The sequence below is a fragment of the Homo sapiens genome, chromosome 10, assembly GCF_000001405.40.
Source record: "Homo sapiens chromosome 10, GRCh38.p14 Primary Assembly".
Lineage (NCBI taxonomy): Eukaryota > Metazoa > Chordata > Mammalia > Primates > Hominidae > Homo > Homo sapiens.
In genome coordinates, this window is record NC_000010.11 from 89,228,509 (window position 1) to 89,246,026 (window position 17,518).

Below are 17,518 nucleotides of genomic sequence, written 5' to 3' on the forward strand. Positions count from 1 at the left end.
AATAAATTGAAAGATTGACATAGTGATGTACTCACATATAATGTTAGTAAAGAATTTTTTTAAAACAGCACTGGCAAGGTAGCAGTGAAACTGGACCATTTTTTGCATGTCCACTAACAAGACACACTTATGTAAGCAGCAAAAACAAAAATCAATATATTTTTAAGAAATTATAAAATGTTTTTACAATTTTTTTCTTATAAAATGTTTTTACAATTTGCTTTCGTAATTGCATTTCTCACAATAATTCCTAACAAAATAAACAAAAGGAAAGAAAAAGATCACACATAATGAGACATCACTATACACGTATCAGAATGAGCAACATCCAAAAACGCTGAAAACACCAACTGCTGAAGAGGATGTGGAGGAACAGGAACTCTCATTCATTGCTGGTGGAAATGCAAACTGGTAGCACCACACTGGAAAAGTTTGGCAGTTTCTTACAAAACTAAACATACTCTTACCATATAATCCAGCAATCACATTCCTTGGTATTTTACCCAAAGGAGTTGAAAACTTACATCTACACAAAAACCTGCATACAGATGTCTATAGTAGTTTTACTCATAATTGCCAAAATTTAGAAGCAACCAAGATGTGCTCCAGTAAATGAATGCATAACTAAACTGTGCTACATCCAGACAATGGAGTATTACTCAGCCCTAAAAGGAAATGAGCTATCAAGCCACAAAAAGATGTAGAGGAACCTTAAATACATATTACCAAGATCTGTAAAGGCTGCATTCTATATGACATGCTGGAAAAGACAAAACTATAGAGAGAGTAAAAAAGATCCTGGTTGCCAGGGGTTAGGAGGGAGGAAGGAATTCATAGACAGAGTAAAGAGGATTTTTCAGGGCAGTAAGACTACTCTGCATGATACTATAGAGGTAGACACATGCCATCATACATTTGTCCAAAACTATAGAATATACAACATCAAGAGTGAACTGTAGTGGCCGGGTGTGGTGGTTCATGCCTGCAATCCCAGCACTTTGGGAGGCTGAGGCGAGTGGATCACTTGAGGTCAGTAGTTCGAGACTAGCCTGGCCAACATGGCGAAACCCTGTCTCTACTAAAAATACAAAAAAGGTAGCTGGGTGTGGTGCCCCACACCTGTAATCCCAGCTATTCAGGAAGCTGAGGCAGGAGAATTGCTTGAACCCGGGAGGCAGAGGTTGCAGTGAGCCAAGATTGCACTGCTGCACTCCAGCCTAGGGGACAGAGGGAGACTCAGTCTCAAAAAAAAAAAAAAAAGGGAACCCTAATGTAAACTACGGACTTTGTGTGAATGTAGGTTCATCAGCTGTAACAATTACAATTCCACTCTGTGAGGGATGTTCATAACAGGGGAGTGTGGGGGCAGAGGGTGTATGGGAAATCTCTGTACCTTCCACTCAATTTTGCTATGAACTTAAAACTGCTTTAAAAAATAAAATTTAATAAAAATTTTTAAAGCTGAATAAAAGTTAAATAGATAAAAAGGCTCACACACACAAATTCATAAATATATGTGTCTGTGTCTGCCTGTGAGAATTTATTTTCTACTCACCTGTACCCGAGACAGTGATATAGCAGAAAAAACAAAGATGTGGGAGCCAAAGAAACCTGACCTCAAGCTGCTTACCTAACGCTGAGACCATTCAGTTATTCATGAAACAAGCCTTTATTGAGTACCAACTATGTGCCAGGCCTTCTTCTCAGCACTGAGAACACAGCAGAGAACAAAAACAAGAGGAAAAAAAGTACCTCCATGGAGCTGACATTATACTGACCATGAGTTTTATCCACTTATTTGATTGATTGATTGATTGAGATAGGATGTTGCTCTGTGACCCAGGATGGAGTGCAGTGGCGTGATCTCTGCTCACAGCAACCTCCACCTTCTGGGCTCAAGTGATCCTTCCATCTCAACCTCCTGAGTAGTTGGGATTTCAGGCGTGCACCAACACACCCAGCTAATTTTTGTGTTTTTTGTAGAGACAGTGTTTCACCATGTTCCCAGGCTGGTCTCAAACTCCTGGACTCAAGCGATCCACCCACCTCGGCTTCCCAAAGTGCGGGGTTTACAGGTGTGAGCCACCACGCCCAGCCCGATCATGAGTTTTAGACAGCTCAAACAAACCTAGGCTCAACTCTGTCCTCTCCAAGTTCTAACATGACACCTTGGGGAAACATCTCCTAAAATTAATATAATTCCCTGAAGAGTAGAAATGATAATACACATTTTATAGGACACAGTGAGATATGAGATATTATATGAAAAGTAGGTAGCAAAGAGTCTGACACACAGTAAGAGTTCACTATATATCAACTCATACTATTAAGTTGCTTAACCAGTCTGCGTCTCAGTTCCAAAAATAATTGTTAAGAGGAATAAGTGAGGTAAGTATCCAGTATAGTGACTGACACACGGGTCACAGTGAACAAATGAGAGCTTCCTTTGCCCTCTGCTCATTCTTTATAACAGTGAAAAACTGGAAATAAGCTAATTGTCAAGTGGTCAAATAATTCATTGAAATCCACTTGGTATAATAATTATCCATCAACCATGACAAGGACAGTGACAGCATAGAAAAGCTTATACCTTGCAAAGGAAAAAAAAGCAAAATACAAAATTATAGACTACTCTAAATTACAGCTGTGCAAAATTAATGTACACCAAAGAGGAGTGTAAAATACCAAGGAAAAATGAGAAGAATGATTTGTCCAGATGATAAGACTATAAGTGAATTGACAAATGTTCATTTCTGCTAATGTCCTAATATAGATTTGATAACTAGCAAATTGTTTTTAAATGACAGTTCTGCTGCAAGGTAGCTTCCGTAGACTACTCCGGAAGGCACTGCTCACATACATGAAAATATACATGGTACTCCCTGGAGTTGTACAACCTGGGGGTGCTATACCCTCGTGTTGTTAAAATAGCAGGACCCCAGGCCAAGAGTATAAAATGATTCCCATAACTTTTTTTTTTTTAAGAGAGAAAAGGTCTCATTCTATCACCTAGACTGGAGTGCAGTGGCATGACTGCTCACTGCAGCCTCAAACTCCTGGACTCAAGTGATCCTCCCACCTCAGGCCCCTGAAGAACTGGGATTACAGGTGTGTACCACAACATCCAGCCAATTTTTTAAAAAACTTTTCATAGAGATGAGGTCTTACTATGTTGCCCAGGCTGGTCTCAAACTCCTGGCCTCAAGTGATTCTCTCGCCTTGGCCTCTCAAAGTGCGGGGATTACAGAAGTGAAACATCATGTATGGCTGGTGTGATTTTCTAATCACAAAATAGAAATGCCAGGGCCATGCAGGTGAACTTCTACCCATGGGGAGAAAATAGAAAGCAAACTGGACAAGATTAGGGCTGCTTTATGTGCTCATCTTTGCCTTCAAAGGTTCATTTTAATGCAATATTAACAAGACTAAATTTACTACGAAAAATGTAAGTGGAAGGCATTGTGGTAGATACAGCGTCTTATGCACAGGCTTCTTGGCTTCAATGAAGAGGATGATAATCCAGCTGGGAAAATATGAAAATTGATCATTAAAAATCCAAAATTATAAACTGCAGTGTAAGTGACAATTATAATTACCAAAATTAATTTATCATTAAATTATAGTTGAAAAATGTGTAACTACAGGCACCATCATCATCTCATGGTAACTGTACGTGAGAATGGTGACCGGGCGCTGTACGATGCAGTGGCTCTGCTGTACTGATGGTGCCCAACACTTTCTAGAAAGAGGGGCTTTCCTGCTCATGTCACAGCTCTTTAGGTATGTTGAGGCACTTTTCACCCACCAGGAGTGATCAGGAGCTAGGCCATGAGTAAGGTGACTTGACTTTGAAAGGCCAGGAACGGGCTGCTCCCACAGGTCAGGTCATTTCCAACAAAAACGACTGCAATCGTCTTCCCTCAGGATGGAGAGTCAGAGAGAGGCAAGAGGAAGGCTCGGTAGGTGGCCTAATTCCTTGGCACTTGTTCCAATCTGTGCCTCTGTAGTTAACACGGAAAACATGGGACTGCCTAGTCTACTCCTCAGGGGAGAGTGTCCAGAGAAAGGCAGGAATGGTTTGAAACCAAAGAGGGCCCTGGGGCAAGGATAATTGAGAGAGGAGAAGGAGGGTGATATGTGGCAGCCAGGCCAGGACAGAGGCTGGAAGGGGAGATGTTGGCCAGCACATGGGACCAGGACTCAGCTCCCCACCTTCTCTCGATGGAGAATGTTTAAAATTTCCCTAAAGTCTCTGTACTTCCCTCTGTAACCTCTAGAGCTTTGAATGGGGAAATGTGGAAGCTGACAAGTTGAAGATACATCAGGAAAGTCTTTAAACATCCCCAATAAATAACTCCTGGATTCCCAAGGGCAATGAGGAGCTGCTGCAGTTTTCCTGGGAGGTGAGTGTGAAGAAAGGAATGGCCTGTGGACAGCTGGAGCATGTGCTACCCAGGAGACCACGCCTAAGGTGGCTGTGCAGCTTCTAAGAACATCGGTAAATACCCTTGTTCCACCCAGACCGAATTCACACCTGCACAACGCTTTTCTCAGGGAATTACTTTATCCTTTGAAGGAGGCTTCCAGAGAATAAGTCAAAGACACTATTTTTCTAATTGTCCTTTTTTGTTTGTTAGGGTTCTTCCATCCCCTACTTCAAGCTGAATACAAAAGCTCAATGAACAACAGGCACAAAAGATGCAGCAGATGGGAAGGAAACAGTGAATCTATTCTTTACAAGCTAAATGTTTTCAAATCTGGAGAATCTGGGCCAAGCACTGCAAAGGGTACTGCAGACCACACTGTTTTCTCATGGGAAATGCTGGCAGATGAGGAAAAGGGCTGATGAAGAAAGGTAAACGTCTGACAAATGGCATGGCTTTAGAGAATGGAGGCCACTCAGCTGTGTCCTCCACATTCAGGTGAAAAGTTTTTAATGGAAATCTGCTGTATCTTAAGCAGTGCACTAGAAGGTAAAATATCAAGAAGTGATTTGAAAACATACATTACGTTTCGTGCAAACCTTTAGTGGTGCCTACTGAGTACCAGCCACTGCTATTAGGTTGTTGCAAAAGTCATTGTGGTTTTTGCCCTTAAAAAGCAATGGCAGGCCGGGCACGGTGGCTCACGCCTGTAATCCCAGCATTTTGGGAGGCCGAGGCGGGTGGATCACCTGAGGTCAAGAGTTTGAGGCCAGCCTGGCCAGCATGGTGAAACCCTCGTGGTGGGTGCCTGTAATCCCAGTTACTCAGGAGGCTGAGGCAGGAGAATTGTTTGAACCCAAGAGGTAGAAGTTGTGGTCAGCCAAGATCGCACCACTGGACTCTAGCCTGGGTGACAGAGAGGGATTCCATTTACCCCCACCCCCCACAAAATAAAAAAGCAATGGCAAAAACCACAATTACTTTTGCCCCAAACTAATAGATGCTAGGAATGCAAAGATGGGTAACCCACACTCCCTCCCACAGGGAGCTCCATCCTCGAGGGAGTCAGACACACGATGACTGTCTAACCCAGCAAGAAGAAGGCTAGAACACCACTCAGGAAGTCCCAGAAGAAGGAGAAAGTTACTTGGCCAGTGGGACAAACATTTGACCTGGATTCTAAGTAAGAGACAGATGTTTCCACAAAGGGTTCTGGAGAAAACATAGGAGCCAGATGAATAAAGAGCTGACACTGCACCCAGGCCTTGGCCAGATGGGACCAGTGTGCACATGAAAGCCTCCCTGCCTGATTCTGACGCGCAGCCAGGCTGGGGAACCACTAGGAAAAGTCCAGTGCCTTGTCTGACCTGGGGACACAGGGAATAGGAAGGACTTCATGGGGTGCACATCTTTCCAGGCTGGGCCAGTTTCCTTTCATCCCAGAACAAAAAAGTCTCTTCTGAGGAGGGAGATGCAGAGGATATAACTTACTGAACTTCTAGAGATGGCAGTTCCATTAGGCATGACGGATCCTCAGCAAAGAAAATAGTATCGAATCCTCGGGTGAAAAACCTTTAAAAATGGCTTCCAAACCTCTTGCCCCTTCCCTCTGGCATTGGGTGAATACAAAAGGGAATGGAAAAGACTGGACGCTGGAAGCAGGCCCAGCCAACTGTTGCCAGCTTCTCTCACCTGCTCCCACCAGGGGGAAGAAAGGAAGGTACAATGTGGTTCTTTCCCATCCCACCACCAAAGAAGGATTTAAGGATTGACTGGCAAAGGATGTTTCTCTCTGGGAAGGTAAAACCTATTGCTGTTCACATCTTCCAGTGAACTATTTCAGATTTCACTTCACCTTGCTGAGAACAGCTGATTGAAATGATAGCTAGCGCCGATTGCACGCTTGTATGCTGTAGGTACTGTACTGAAAATCCTTTGAAGTTGGCACTACTGCCATTTAACAGAACAGGGAATTGTGGTAAAGAAGTCAAGTAACTTGCCCAAGGCTGAACGAGAGCTAGGAAGCGTGAGGGTTGGAGTCTAACCAGGTGTGTCTGACACCACAGGCCATGCTTTTCAGTGCTTTGCTAGGGAAAGAAGGTTAACAAGAGAGAAGTCTCTAGAACACACTGAGGCCTTCCGGCTGAAGGCAGAAAGCTATTTTTGAAAGGATGTGGACAAAGTGCTTGAAGAAAGTAATCTCTAGTAGATGGAGGGGGATAGGGAATGAAAGGAGGGGCACCCACTCAGCCTCGCCTGGTCAGGCAGCTCCTCCAAGGCCCAGCCTGCTCAATGCACTCAGGCACCCTGAAGCCCTGTTTGTCAGAGTGACAAACCAGCATGACAGGTCAAGGGCTGCCTTCCCCAGCTATGCCCTACGGGTGGCTCTGGGAGTTCTGTGCAAATGCAACTTGAAGAAAAAGAAGCCCTAGGAGGGCTGGGGATTAAGGGAAAAGACTAAAGGACCATTTCTCAGCCTGGAGATGGCAAGTGATTTCATTATGGCCCTAAATAGGACAAAGCTGACAAAGAAGCAGCCCAGTGGCAGTCCACGACAACGCTGCCTTCCCAGTGTGGGTGGAAGCCAGGAGGCGATTACTCAAGCTCCGAAACTGAATGTGCTGAGCCCACAGTCCCGCAGGAGGAAGATGACCGGGTAGGTGGGGAAGTTCCTCCTGCCTCCCAAGGCACTGGCCTTCTCTGCCAGGATGCTGAGTCCGGACAGGACTCCGTCACACTCCAAAACACATGTGAGAAATCAGCTGAGGGCCAGGGCAGAACCAAAACAGAGAACAAGGAGGTGGTCAGACACCAGGGCGTTAGCATGAAGCAGACCTCAGTTCTTACTGGCTACAAAACTTTGTAGGATTTGCTCAACTCTCTCTGAAGTATAGGTGTCCTTTTCTAAAGTGAGAATGACGAAGTAGTTAATACATAGTAAAGCTGAATAAATAATGGTCCCTGATAGTAACAATAATAAATCTATACAGTTGGTCCTTAAACAACACAGGTTTGAACTGCACAGGTCCACTCATACATGGATTTTTTTTCAATAAACATTGAAAAATTTGTTGGAGATTTGCAACAATTTGAGAAAAACTAACAGACCAACTCTGTAGTCTGGAAATAATAAAAAGTTACTAAAAGGTTAAGTATGTCATGAATGCATAAAATATATTTAGATATTGGCCTTTTTTATTTATTACCATAAATATACACAAAGTATAAAAAGTTAACATTTTCAAAACTTAGACACACACTTACAGACCAAACATGGTGCCATTGACAGTTAAGAGAAATGTAAACAAATGTAAAGATGTGGTATTAAATCATAACTGCATAAAATTAACTAGAGTTTATTGTGTACTACTGTAATAATTTTGTAGCCGCCTCCTGTTGCTCAAGTATTGTAAATATCTGCTTAAATTTCTCATGACACTAATCATCTCCACGTAAGCAGTTTCTCCAGTAAATTGCACATTGCAGTAAAAAGTGATCTCTTGCAGTTCTCATATGTTTTTCATCATGTTTAGCACGATATCATAAACCTTGAATAACACCATTGGACCCATACAAAGAACTAATAGTGATCTGGGAGTGCTCCCAAAAAGCAGAGAAAAGTCCAGACAAGAAAAAGTTGAATTGCTTGATATGTGTCATAGATTGAGGTCTGCAGCTTCAATTATCTTCATTTCAAGATAAATGACACATAAAGATGACTGTTAAAAAAAAAGGGAAAGAAAATTTGTGAAGCCATTTGTCATTGCAGCTATGACAGCAAGTGCCAAAACCTTGCACTTTTTCCGAAATACCTTTTATCTCATATTGAAAATGCAGCTTTTATGTGGGTGCAGGATTGCTCTAATATGATTCTAGACTCTAATATTCAAGATAAAGCAAGAATAGATTCTAGACTCTAAGATTCAAGAAAAAGCAAAGTCATTATATGACAACTTAAAGAAAAAAGAAGGTGAAGAATCTAAAGTTGGAGAATTTAATGCCAATAAAAGATGCTTTGATAATTTTACAAAGAGGTTTGGCTTTTAAAATGCCAATATAGACCAGGCACGGTGGCTTATGTTTGTAATCCCAGCATTTTGGGAGGCCAAAGTGGGAGGACCTCTTGAGGCCAGGTGTTCGAAACCAGTCTGAAAAACACAGTGAGATCCCCATCTCTATCAAAAATTGTTTTAAAAATTAGCCGAGTATGGTTGGCACATGTCTGTAGTCCTAGCTACTTAGAAGGCTGAGGTGAGAAGACTGGTTGAGCCAAGGAGTTTGAGGTTACAGTGAGCTATAATGGTGCCACTGTACTCCAGCTTGGTGACAGAGCAAGATGCTGTCTCTAAAAAACCAAAAATTAATTAATTTTAAGAATTAAAAATTTTAAAAACTTTAAAAATATGTCAAGATAACAGAAGAAGCAGCTCCTGCCAACCAAGAGGCTGCATATAAATTCCTAGAGGAAAATGTATCTGCCTGAACAGGTTTTTAATGCAGATGAAAGTGTTCCATTCTAACAAAAAAAAATATATATATATATCCCACAAAGGACGTTTATTAGTAAGGAAGAGAAACAAGCACCAGGATTTAAGGCAAGAAGGGATAGGCTAACTCTACTGTTCTGTGCAAATGCAGTAGGGTTGATGGTCAGGTCTGCCCTTACCTATAAATCTGCTAATCCCTGAGCCTTAAAGGGAAAATATAGACATCAGCTGTCAGTCTTTTGGCTGTACAATAAGAAGGACTGGACAATGAGAACTATTTTTCCAGATTGGTTCCATTGATGCTTTTTTCCTGAAGTCAGGAAGTGCTTTGCCAGTAAGGGACTGCCTTTCAAAGTTCTTTTGATATAGGAAAATGCCTCTGGCCACCCAGAACCCCATGAATTCAATACCAAAGGCATCGAAGTGGTCTACTTGCCCCCAAACACATCTTTAATTCAGTCTCTAAATCAGGAGGTCATAAGGACCTTTAAGGCTCATTACACACATACACTATGGAAAGGATTGAATTGGAAGAGAACCCCAACAGAGAGAACATCATGAAGGTCTGGAAGAATTACACCACTGAAGATGCCATTGTTGTTACAGAAAAAGCTGTGAAAGTTATCAAGCCTGAAACAATAAATTCCTGCTGGAGAAAAGTGTATCCAGATGTTGTGCATGACTTCACAGTATCCATATCCATGACTTAGCCAATCAAGGAAATCAAGAAAAAGATTGTGGATATGGCAAAAAGGTGGAGGGTGGGAGCAGGTAAATAGTTTCAATATATGCATCTTAAATAAAGTCAAGAGCTAATAGACACACCAGAGGAATTAACAGAAGATGATTTGATGGAGACGAGTGCTTCTAAAACAGCACCAGACGATGGGAAAGAAGACATGGGAGATGCAGTGCTAGAAAACAAACTGATATTAGACAATTCAGGAGAAGGGTGGCAATTGCAATTATTCAAGACTTCCTTTACAACACTGACGCTTCTATGACACAGGCACTGAAACTAAAGCAAATGATGGAAGAATTGCTATTCTATAGAAACATTTCTAGGGAAATGAAAAAAGGACAGAAATTACAATGTATTTTCATAAAGTTACCCTGAATGTGCCCACTTCTCCTGTCTCCCCTTCCACTTCCTCCCCCTCTTCCACCTCTGCTACTCCTACAACAGCAAGACCAACTCCTCCTCTTCCTCCTCTTCCTTAGCCTGTTCCAACATAAGAATGAAGACCTTTATGATGATCCACTTCCACTTAATGAATAGTAAATACATCCTATTTTCCTTATGATTTCCTTATAACATTTTCTTTTCTCTAGCTTACTTATTGTATATATGGAATATAATACATATAACATATAAAATATTTGTTAATTGGCTATGTACGTTACAGGTAAGCCCTCTGGTCAACAGTAGGCTATTAGTTAAATTTTGGGGAATGCAAAAGTTATATGCAGTTTTCAATAACTCTGGGGGACAGCACCCCTAACCCCCATGTTGTTAAAGAGTTAACTGTAAATGTAATAAAATATTATTAGAACATAACCACTATGAAGAAGGATAGAGTGAAGTGGCATTCTTTGGCCCAGGTAATATAATCATAGTAACAGCAAGCGCATACTAAGTGTTGACAATGTGACAGGCACCATGCTAAGCACTTAAGCACTTTACACGCATTATCTCAGATAAGTCACCTAACAGCTCTCTGAGTTGCTGTAGTAGGCACAAGCAGGACATCTAGCAGATGCAGGACATCTAAGTCAGATACTTTCCACTTTCCACAGTGTGACTTTATCAGGGACATCATAGCTGTTCTCTAGCCTGAGAAGAGGGCCAAGTGGGCAGAAACAGTCACGGGCTGTGTGACTCCTGCCTTCACTACCCATCAGCTGCTTTATCTTGGGCAAGTTAATTAACCCTATAAACCTTGGTTTCCTCATCTGTAAAACAGGAGGTAATAGGAGTTCTTACACCCTAGAATTGTATGAGAGTTCACCTGATGATTCACACAGGGCACAGCGCTTGGCCTGTCCACAGGATGCATTCAGGAGTCATGTGGCCTTTGCCACTGTGCAGTCCACTGCACTCACACTTCACTGTCACCCTGCTGGGGAGCAGGTGACCTGCAGGAGTGAACACAACAAGAGCACCCTGCATCACAGAGCAGGGAAGAAAACCGTTCCATGCCTCAGAATGCTGTTTTCCCCAAAACCAGCAATAATCACTCTGATCACCAGGCAACACGAAGGCAGTAATGTGGTCTGTCTTGTTCACTGCAGAACGTTCCAGGACATTATCATAATTAGAGTTTTCCACGCACCCAGGATGGTGCTGGGCCATTTACATCATTCTTCCTCCTTTGGGGCCTCTGAGGCTTAGAGAGACTAAATCATTTGCCCTAGGACACACAATTAGTATACGATGCAGCTGGGAATCAAACCCAGGTCATGTGACAAATGTGCCCATCATCTCCATGCCAAATTGCCTGTCTTCCCTGCCCCTCTCTGCCACCACGGCCTGTCCTCAGACAGCTTTGCAGCACAGCAACTTGAGTTCCAGAGCTTCACAGTTGAGCGAATTTTGGGAAATTATCCAGCTCTCATCCAAAATTCTCCCTCAACAGAAGGAGCAGAGGGTCCACAGAAGAAAGCACCTGCAGGGGACACAGGGCTAGAAATGACACAGTGCTTGTCACCTGACCCCCAGACATAGTTCTATGACATTTCTTACTTTTCTTACTTCTGTCCATTGTAAACAAATGCATCTTCCTCCTGTCCACACAGTTTAGAATACATCCCTGTCATGGAGGGCTTAATCCTGAAGAAGTCAATATCAGAGACCACCATCAAATCCATGTTGACATTTCAAAATTAAAAACAGAGGCTGGGCACCATGGTTCATGCCTGTTATCCCAGCCCTTTGGGAGGCTGAGGGAGGATCATTTGAAGCTGTAGTAAGCTATGATTGTACCACTGCATTCTAGCCTGGGAGACACGGTGAGACTTTTAAAATATTTATGTATTTATTCATTAATATTTTAAATAAATAAATGTTGTAAAAGAAATTGTATCACCTGCACTTACTATACTGCATATATTTCACAGGCCTTATCAAATTTTCACAACAGCCTACGAAGTAGCCAGTATTATTCTTCCTGTTTAATAATTGAATAAGTCAAAACTTCAAGAGGTAAAGAAAATTGCCAAGGTCACACAGCCAGTTAAATAGTAGAGCCAGAACTTACACCCATGACTGGTGGCTCTTCACATGCTCAGCTTAATCATGAGGCAATACAGCTTCAAGTTTTACCCACCACAGGAAGCATTTAAGTTGTGTTCGTGGACTCCTAGGAGCCCAGGAGTAGGAAATCCTTCATGCAGTGTGCCCTTGAGCAGGGGACACTATTAAATCGCAATGTCACAGGAGGGCTGCAGGAGCATGCTTGGGTAGACTGCAGCCTGGAGCTAAAGCAATTTACCAAGTAAAGAGAATCAGAAAAGTCTTCATCCCCGCAGAGTCTGGTGGGGATGACAGAGGTCACACACATCATCACCTACATAATAATATATTGTTTATTGTCTTAATTGCGATGGAGAAAAACACAGAGGACTATAAGAATATGTAGCCAGGGGCCTGACCTGGTGTGAGAGGCTGAGGAAATCCTCCCTGAAGATGTGAAAATTAGGTTGAGAACAGAGGACAGGTCAGAGCGGTTAACCAGGAGGAAGAGGAGGGAAGGGGACAGGGCAGAGCACTATCTTCCTTTCCACTTGGCTTTCTGCTCTGATCCCAACCTGGGTCTATGAGATAAGCTGTACAGCTGACCTCACTTATGCTGCTCCATTAGGCAAAGGTTCTGAATGCAATCCCCTACCCAATGCGCCATCAGAGTGCTACATGAGCCTGAGCTCAGCCCAAGTCACCAAGCTCAGGCATTGATTAATGAAACCATGTCTGTTCGGCACCACCAGGGGTGAGGAATTACATCCCAGATTACCAACGCCTATGTGTAGCCCGTTAGAGCACTGCAGTGATTCAAAAAATAGTTTCTTTAGAAGTGAAGGATTTTTCTATAAGGAAAGAAAAATCTAGAAATCAACCAGAATTCTAAAATAAACAATCAAAGCAAAATACAAGCTGATGGTCTCCTTCTAAAGACTTAACTCACAAGCCACGCTGTGAATTTTCAGCTATGACTCTAATAGCTCAATGGACAACCCCTGGGGAATCTTTGCTGAGGCCACAGTTGAAAAGCCTGTTTCTGCATGCTGAAGGCAGTCATTCCAGGCTTTCACAGTCTAGAGTGCCACTTCACCCACTCGGCAATCAGATGCATAACTTTCAGATACAAATGTGCCACTCTTGGTGTGTGTATATATATATAAAATATATATTGTGCCTATCATGGCATCAACTTGGTTAATATTTATTATGTAAGGCCACATTCTCCAGTTCAAAGATCACTGAATCTGTAGTCAGACAGGTCAGGACATGACCCTCTGCCCTGAGACAAATTCATTTCCCTATTTGAACCTGGCTGTCTTATCCAACAAAATGAGGATGTTAGTCTAGAACACAGGTTGCCAAAACCAAGAATTCTACCTTGGAATCCACCAGTGAAGTGTGTTTAAAAAAAAACAAAAATCCCTAGCCCAGGCAGGAATCTGAGATCCCTCCAGTGCTAACTCCCCATGACTTTCTGAAATAAGGCTGAGCAGATGAAAACAGAGCCACTTCCCTATGAAGTGTAATTTCTGAATTTCAATTCCCTTCAGGAGCAAAGCATTGCTCAACACTTCCTAAGAAGGTTGCTTAATGGTGGGAAACAGCATGCACATACTGCACGAGTAGCCAAGGGCTACTACTGTGCAGAATGGAGGTGAAAGGTACAAATACCAGCTGGACAGAATATTTAAGGAACAGTGTGTATCTTCATTTCTGAGACCCCTAAAGATTGCTGAATGGCAATTTCACATCATTATAGCTAAGCTTTAAGAAACTTAATCCTGCAAAACCACATAGGATGAATGAGAACAGGAAGCCTGGCAGAGAAAAGAGCAGTTAGGTAAAGCCTTTAAGCAAACATGAGCAGAGAAGCCATGTGGCCAAGCCCTGTGTTCATAAAAAAAACCTGATCTCCAAGTGAGGCTACACAGTCAGTCAAAGAGGCCCATGGCAACAGGACTGAAAGATGCTCACCATTCAGCTGTAGACTCAGGTTCCACAAGGAATGTGGTACCAAAAAATGAATAATGTTTTAATACATTTTGTAATTACTTGTAAATAGTATGAATGTATAGCAGTATTTTTGTGTGTATTAAAAGCATTAATTTCTTAAACTATATAAGCAAACTGAATTTCCATAATCCTGTCTTGAAATTCTTTCTTTCTGTTAGTATACGAGGAGCCTTGAAAATGGAAATGGCTCAAGACTCTCTCAGCTGCTGAGCTTATTTCAGGCGCCCAGTTAAGTGGTAACAAGAGCCTAATGTAGGCTGGTGGTCAGGGAAACAGAAGAAAAAGATGAACTGAAGCAATTTAACGTGGGTGGCCTAGAGAGGACCCGTGGTCAAGAATGATTCTGCAGATTCCAGGCTAGGTCATTAGGAGGATGCTGGTGCTATTAATAATAGAGGAGGAAGTCAGGAGGGGAAGCGGGATGCATGAGAAGAGGACGCGTTTCACTTTGGGTGTGAAAGGCCTTCTCCATTCTTTTTATCTATTTGCCTTTAAACACCGGAAATAACACCAGTGGCAACAACCTTGCTCTTGAATAGGAGTGAAGGACAGTAAAGAGCCTCTGTCCATGCTCTGTTTTAGAATGTGGAAATGCAAACCATCAGGAAAGCGCCTATGCAGTTCTTAGGAAAATCACAATTCCTTTAGAGAACTGAGTTGTTCACTGTAGACTTCCTTGAAGACTCCCCACTGAGGTTAGCTCATAGCAGGTATGACATACACATCAGTGATCCCCTACAGGGAGGGCCTCTCAGAATAGAGAAAGAACATGAGGACCAAATGCTATGAACAGATTTAGCTTAGAGTAAATACTTTCAGTCTATATTCCCCCATTCTAAAGACCTAGACTCTCCACTCTCCCAATCCCCAACCCTCTTGCCAAAAATAAAATAAAGTATATATAATATATCCCACAGAGGTTAAAAAAAAAAAAGAAAAAACAAAGCACACAAGAAGTCAGGGGCAAACCCAGGTGTAGCACCAAGGTCCCATAAGTCTCCTTTCTATTACCTGGGAGCATATCAAGACTCATGCTCACTTTCTTCATATTCCAGGGCACTGCACCTTCCCCTGCAACAGTGTGATACACACAGGTAGGGCATGTGACTCTGAGTGTTTTAACCACTGTATGGAGAGAGAAGTCTGAAGCTGGATATAGGAGGAGAGCTCTCAGCAAGTTTTACTGAGATGCTTACCATCATTTAACAGTGATTCACGTTACTAATTAATCAACTATAATTTTAAGAAAAATAATATAAAGCATTTTTCTTTATACAGTGTCTGAAATCAGTATACAGGGGTTATTCTTTGGGGGAAAAAAAAGGAAGGAAACCAAGATCATATGCTCGCTCTAGCATAAAATATATGTTTTGAGTGTTTTGAGCACAGGAAAAACTAAAAGCTCTCACTATAACTCATCACTCATTTTATAACATATTTATAAAAAGGAAGCTTAATGGCATATATCTGTAAAGCATAAAAATCTCAAGAGTTAGAAATCAAATTTCAAAAAAAATGGTTGTCGTGGCCACCTAAACATTATTAAAATCTTATTACAGCTAGAACACATGGAAGAAAAAAGTTAAACTAGGATAAATTAAGAAAAAACAAAGCAAATAATAATACAATGCTCACATTAACACAAAGGGTGTTTAAGTTTGCTTTGAATAACAATTTGGGCAGGAATTGAGGCAAAGGTGGCTCTTTTGCCCGTATAACACTTAAATTGAAGAATAAATAGCTATCTAACTACCTTAATCTAAACCTTAATTTCCCCAAGAAAAGTCTCCAGAAACAAAAAAATGTTAGAGAATAAGCTACATCTTACTTGAACCTGGGAGGCGGAGGTTGCAGTGAGCCAAGATTGCACCATTGCATTCCAGCCTGGGCAACAAGACCGAAAATCCGTCTCAAAAAAATAAATAAATAAATAAGCTACATCTGGAGAGATAATTGAATAAAGATTAGATCCTTCTTCTGATAACTGCTTAATAATTTCAATCAGTCTGTCTAGAAATTCCTTTATCTGCACTGGAAACTGCAGTTTTGCTTGAGTTATAAAATGAGAGAGAGAAAAAAGATATACATATATATGTATATATATACTTTTTAAGCCAAAGCTACAAGAACTTTCATATATTCATAGTGATAGTAATTATCAGGACACATGCACATGAAAATCAGCTTGGCAATATATATCAAAATCACAAATGCATATATCCTGTGATCCAAAAATTCTACTTCTGGACATGTATCATGTAAATAAACTTGCACACACAAAAGCTTATTTACAGCAGCAATATTTGTTAACAGAAGACTGAAATAGCACAAATATGCATTAATAGGACACTTGGTAAATAAATAATGATACAGTCATATAGTGAAATATCATGCACTTCTGGAAGATGTGCTTTATGTATTGTATGGAAAGATCTCCAAGATATTAAGTAAAAAATTCAAAGAACAAAATAGTGCCATCTTTTGCATTCAAATGGAGGCAAGGGAAAAATAAGAATCTGTGTGTGTATTTGTTTCTAATGAGATTTTTGGAAATAAAAAGATTTTAAAATGAAGTTATTTCAAAAAGATACACAAAAAAGCAGGAAGTAGGGAGTGAGAGAGAAGGGAGGCATTTCACTGTATGTCTTCTAATTCTCTGATTTTTAGATTATGTGAATTCAAAAAAATTAAATAATTTTTAAATAGCAAAAGCCATCTATTTAATGCTCAAAACATTTCATTAAATACACTTCCTTAAAAAAACAAAGCCTCAGAGATTTTAGCATATCCTCAAATGAATCTGGCCTTTGAACAAAAAATTAGATGACTCTTGTCCTTACTTCTTTAAAAGAAAATTATTTTTCTTTGCCTTGCAAACCTCAACACAGTTAGTGCTTTCGTCTAAAAATAATCCCATTTCAATGTTTTTAAGTTAAATCTGAACTTGGTTACTAACACAAAACCCAGAAGAATTCTGGTTTTTACTTTTAAGAGCCTTCCCATACCTTTGTCAGAATGGTTCTTCCTCCCATGAGGAATTCGGTTAAGGCACAGAATATATCCATCTTCTGTCTCAACTAGGTATTCCTCACTAGGGAATCCCCAGTAAGAGATAATTTCACTCTGTAGAGAAAAAGGACGATGGAAATTGGGTGGACAGAATCTGAAACAGTCTCCCACATTAACAAGCAAAGGAGCAGATAAACTATGTTCTCCAGGCTTTAAGAAAGCATTTGTCATTGAAATTTTAGTCTGCTAAATCTAGTAGCCAACTTCTCATCACAAGAGTAAATCCTCCCTTGTTTCACGCTTGTGTTCCACCTACCGGTGTCTGGTTAAACTTCAGTTTCATCATT

The 17,518-nt window shown here is 41.1% G+C and overlaps 1 protein-coding gene across 25 annotated transcripts in view, besides 2 other annotated features; it reads right to left on the reverse strand.

Annotated features, from left to right (window-relative positions):
- The window catches only part of LIPA (lipase A, lysosomal acid type), a 201,108-nt gene that overhangs the window by 14,937 nt on the left and 168,653 nt on the right, over window positions 1–17,518 (reverse strand). For 23 of the 25 annotated variants that reach the window (NM_001440819.1, NM_001440821.1, NM_001440824.1 and 20 more), the window contains one exon: window positions 17,168–17,285. The exons of the other annotated variants lie outside the window; for them this stretch is intronic. In NM_001440819.1, coding sequence (NP_001427748.1) covers window positions 17,168–17,285 — 118 coding nt within the window. The remainder of the gene's footprint in view (window positions 1–17,167; window positions 17,286–17,518) is intronic. 25 annotated transcript variants of the gene reach the window in all.
- Window positions 6,404–6,905: an enhancer, noted in NCBI's record as "NANOG-H3K4me1 hESC enhancer chr10:90994669-90995170 (GRCh37/hg19 assembly coordinates)". NCBI's record gives its function as "activates a minimal SCP1, AML or CMV promoter by ChIP-STARR-seq in naive H9 embryonic stem cells {active_cell/tissue: H9 hESC(naive)}" and the evidence as "EXISTENCE:reporter gene assay evidence [ECO:0000049][PMID:30033119]".
- Window positions 6,906–7,405: an enhancer, noted in NCBI's record as "NANOG-H3K4me1 hESC enhancer chr10:90995171-90995670 (GRCh37/hg19 assembly coordinates)". NCBI's record gives its function as "activates a minimal SCP1, AML or CMV promoter by ChIP-STARR-seq in naive H9 embryonic stem cells {active_cell/tissue: H9 hESC(naive)}" and the evidence as "EXISTENCE:reporter gene assay evidence [ECO:0000049][PMID:30033119]".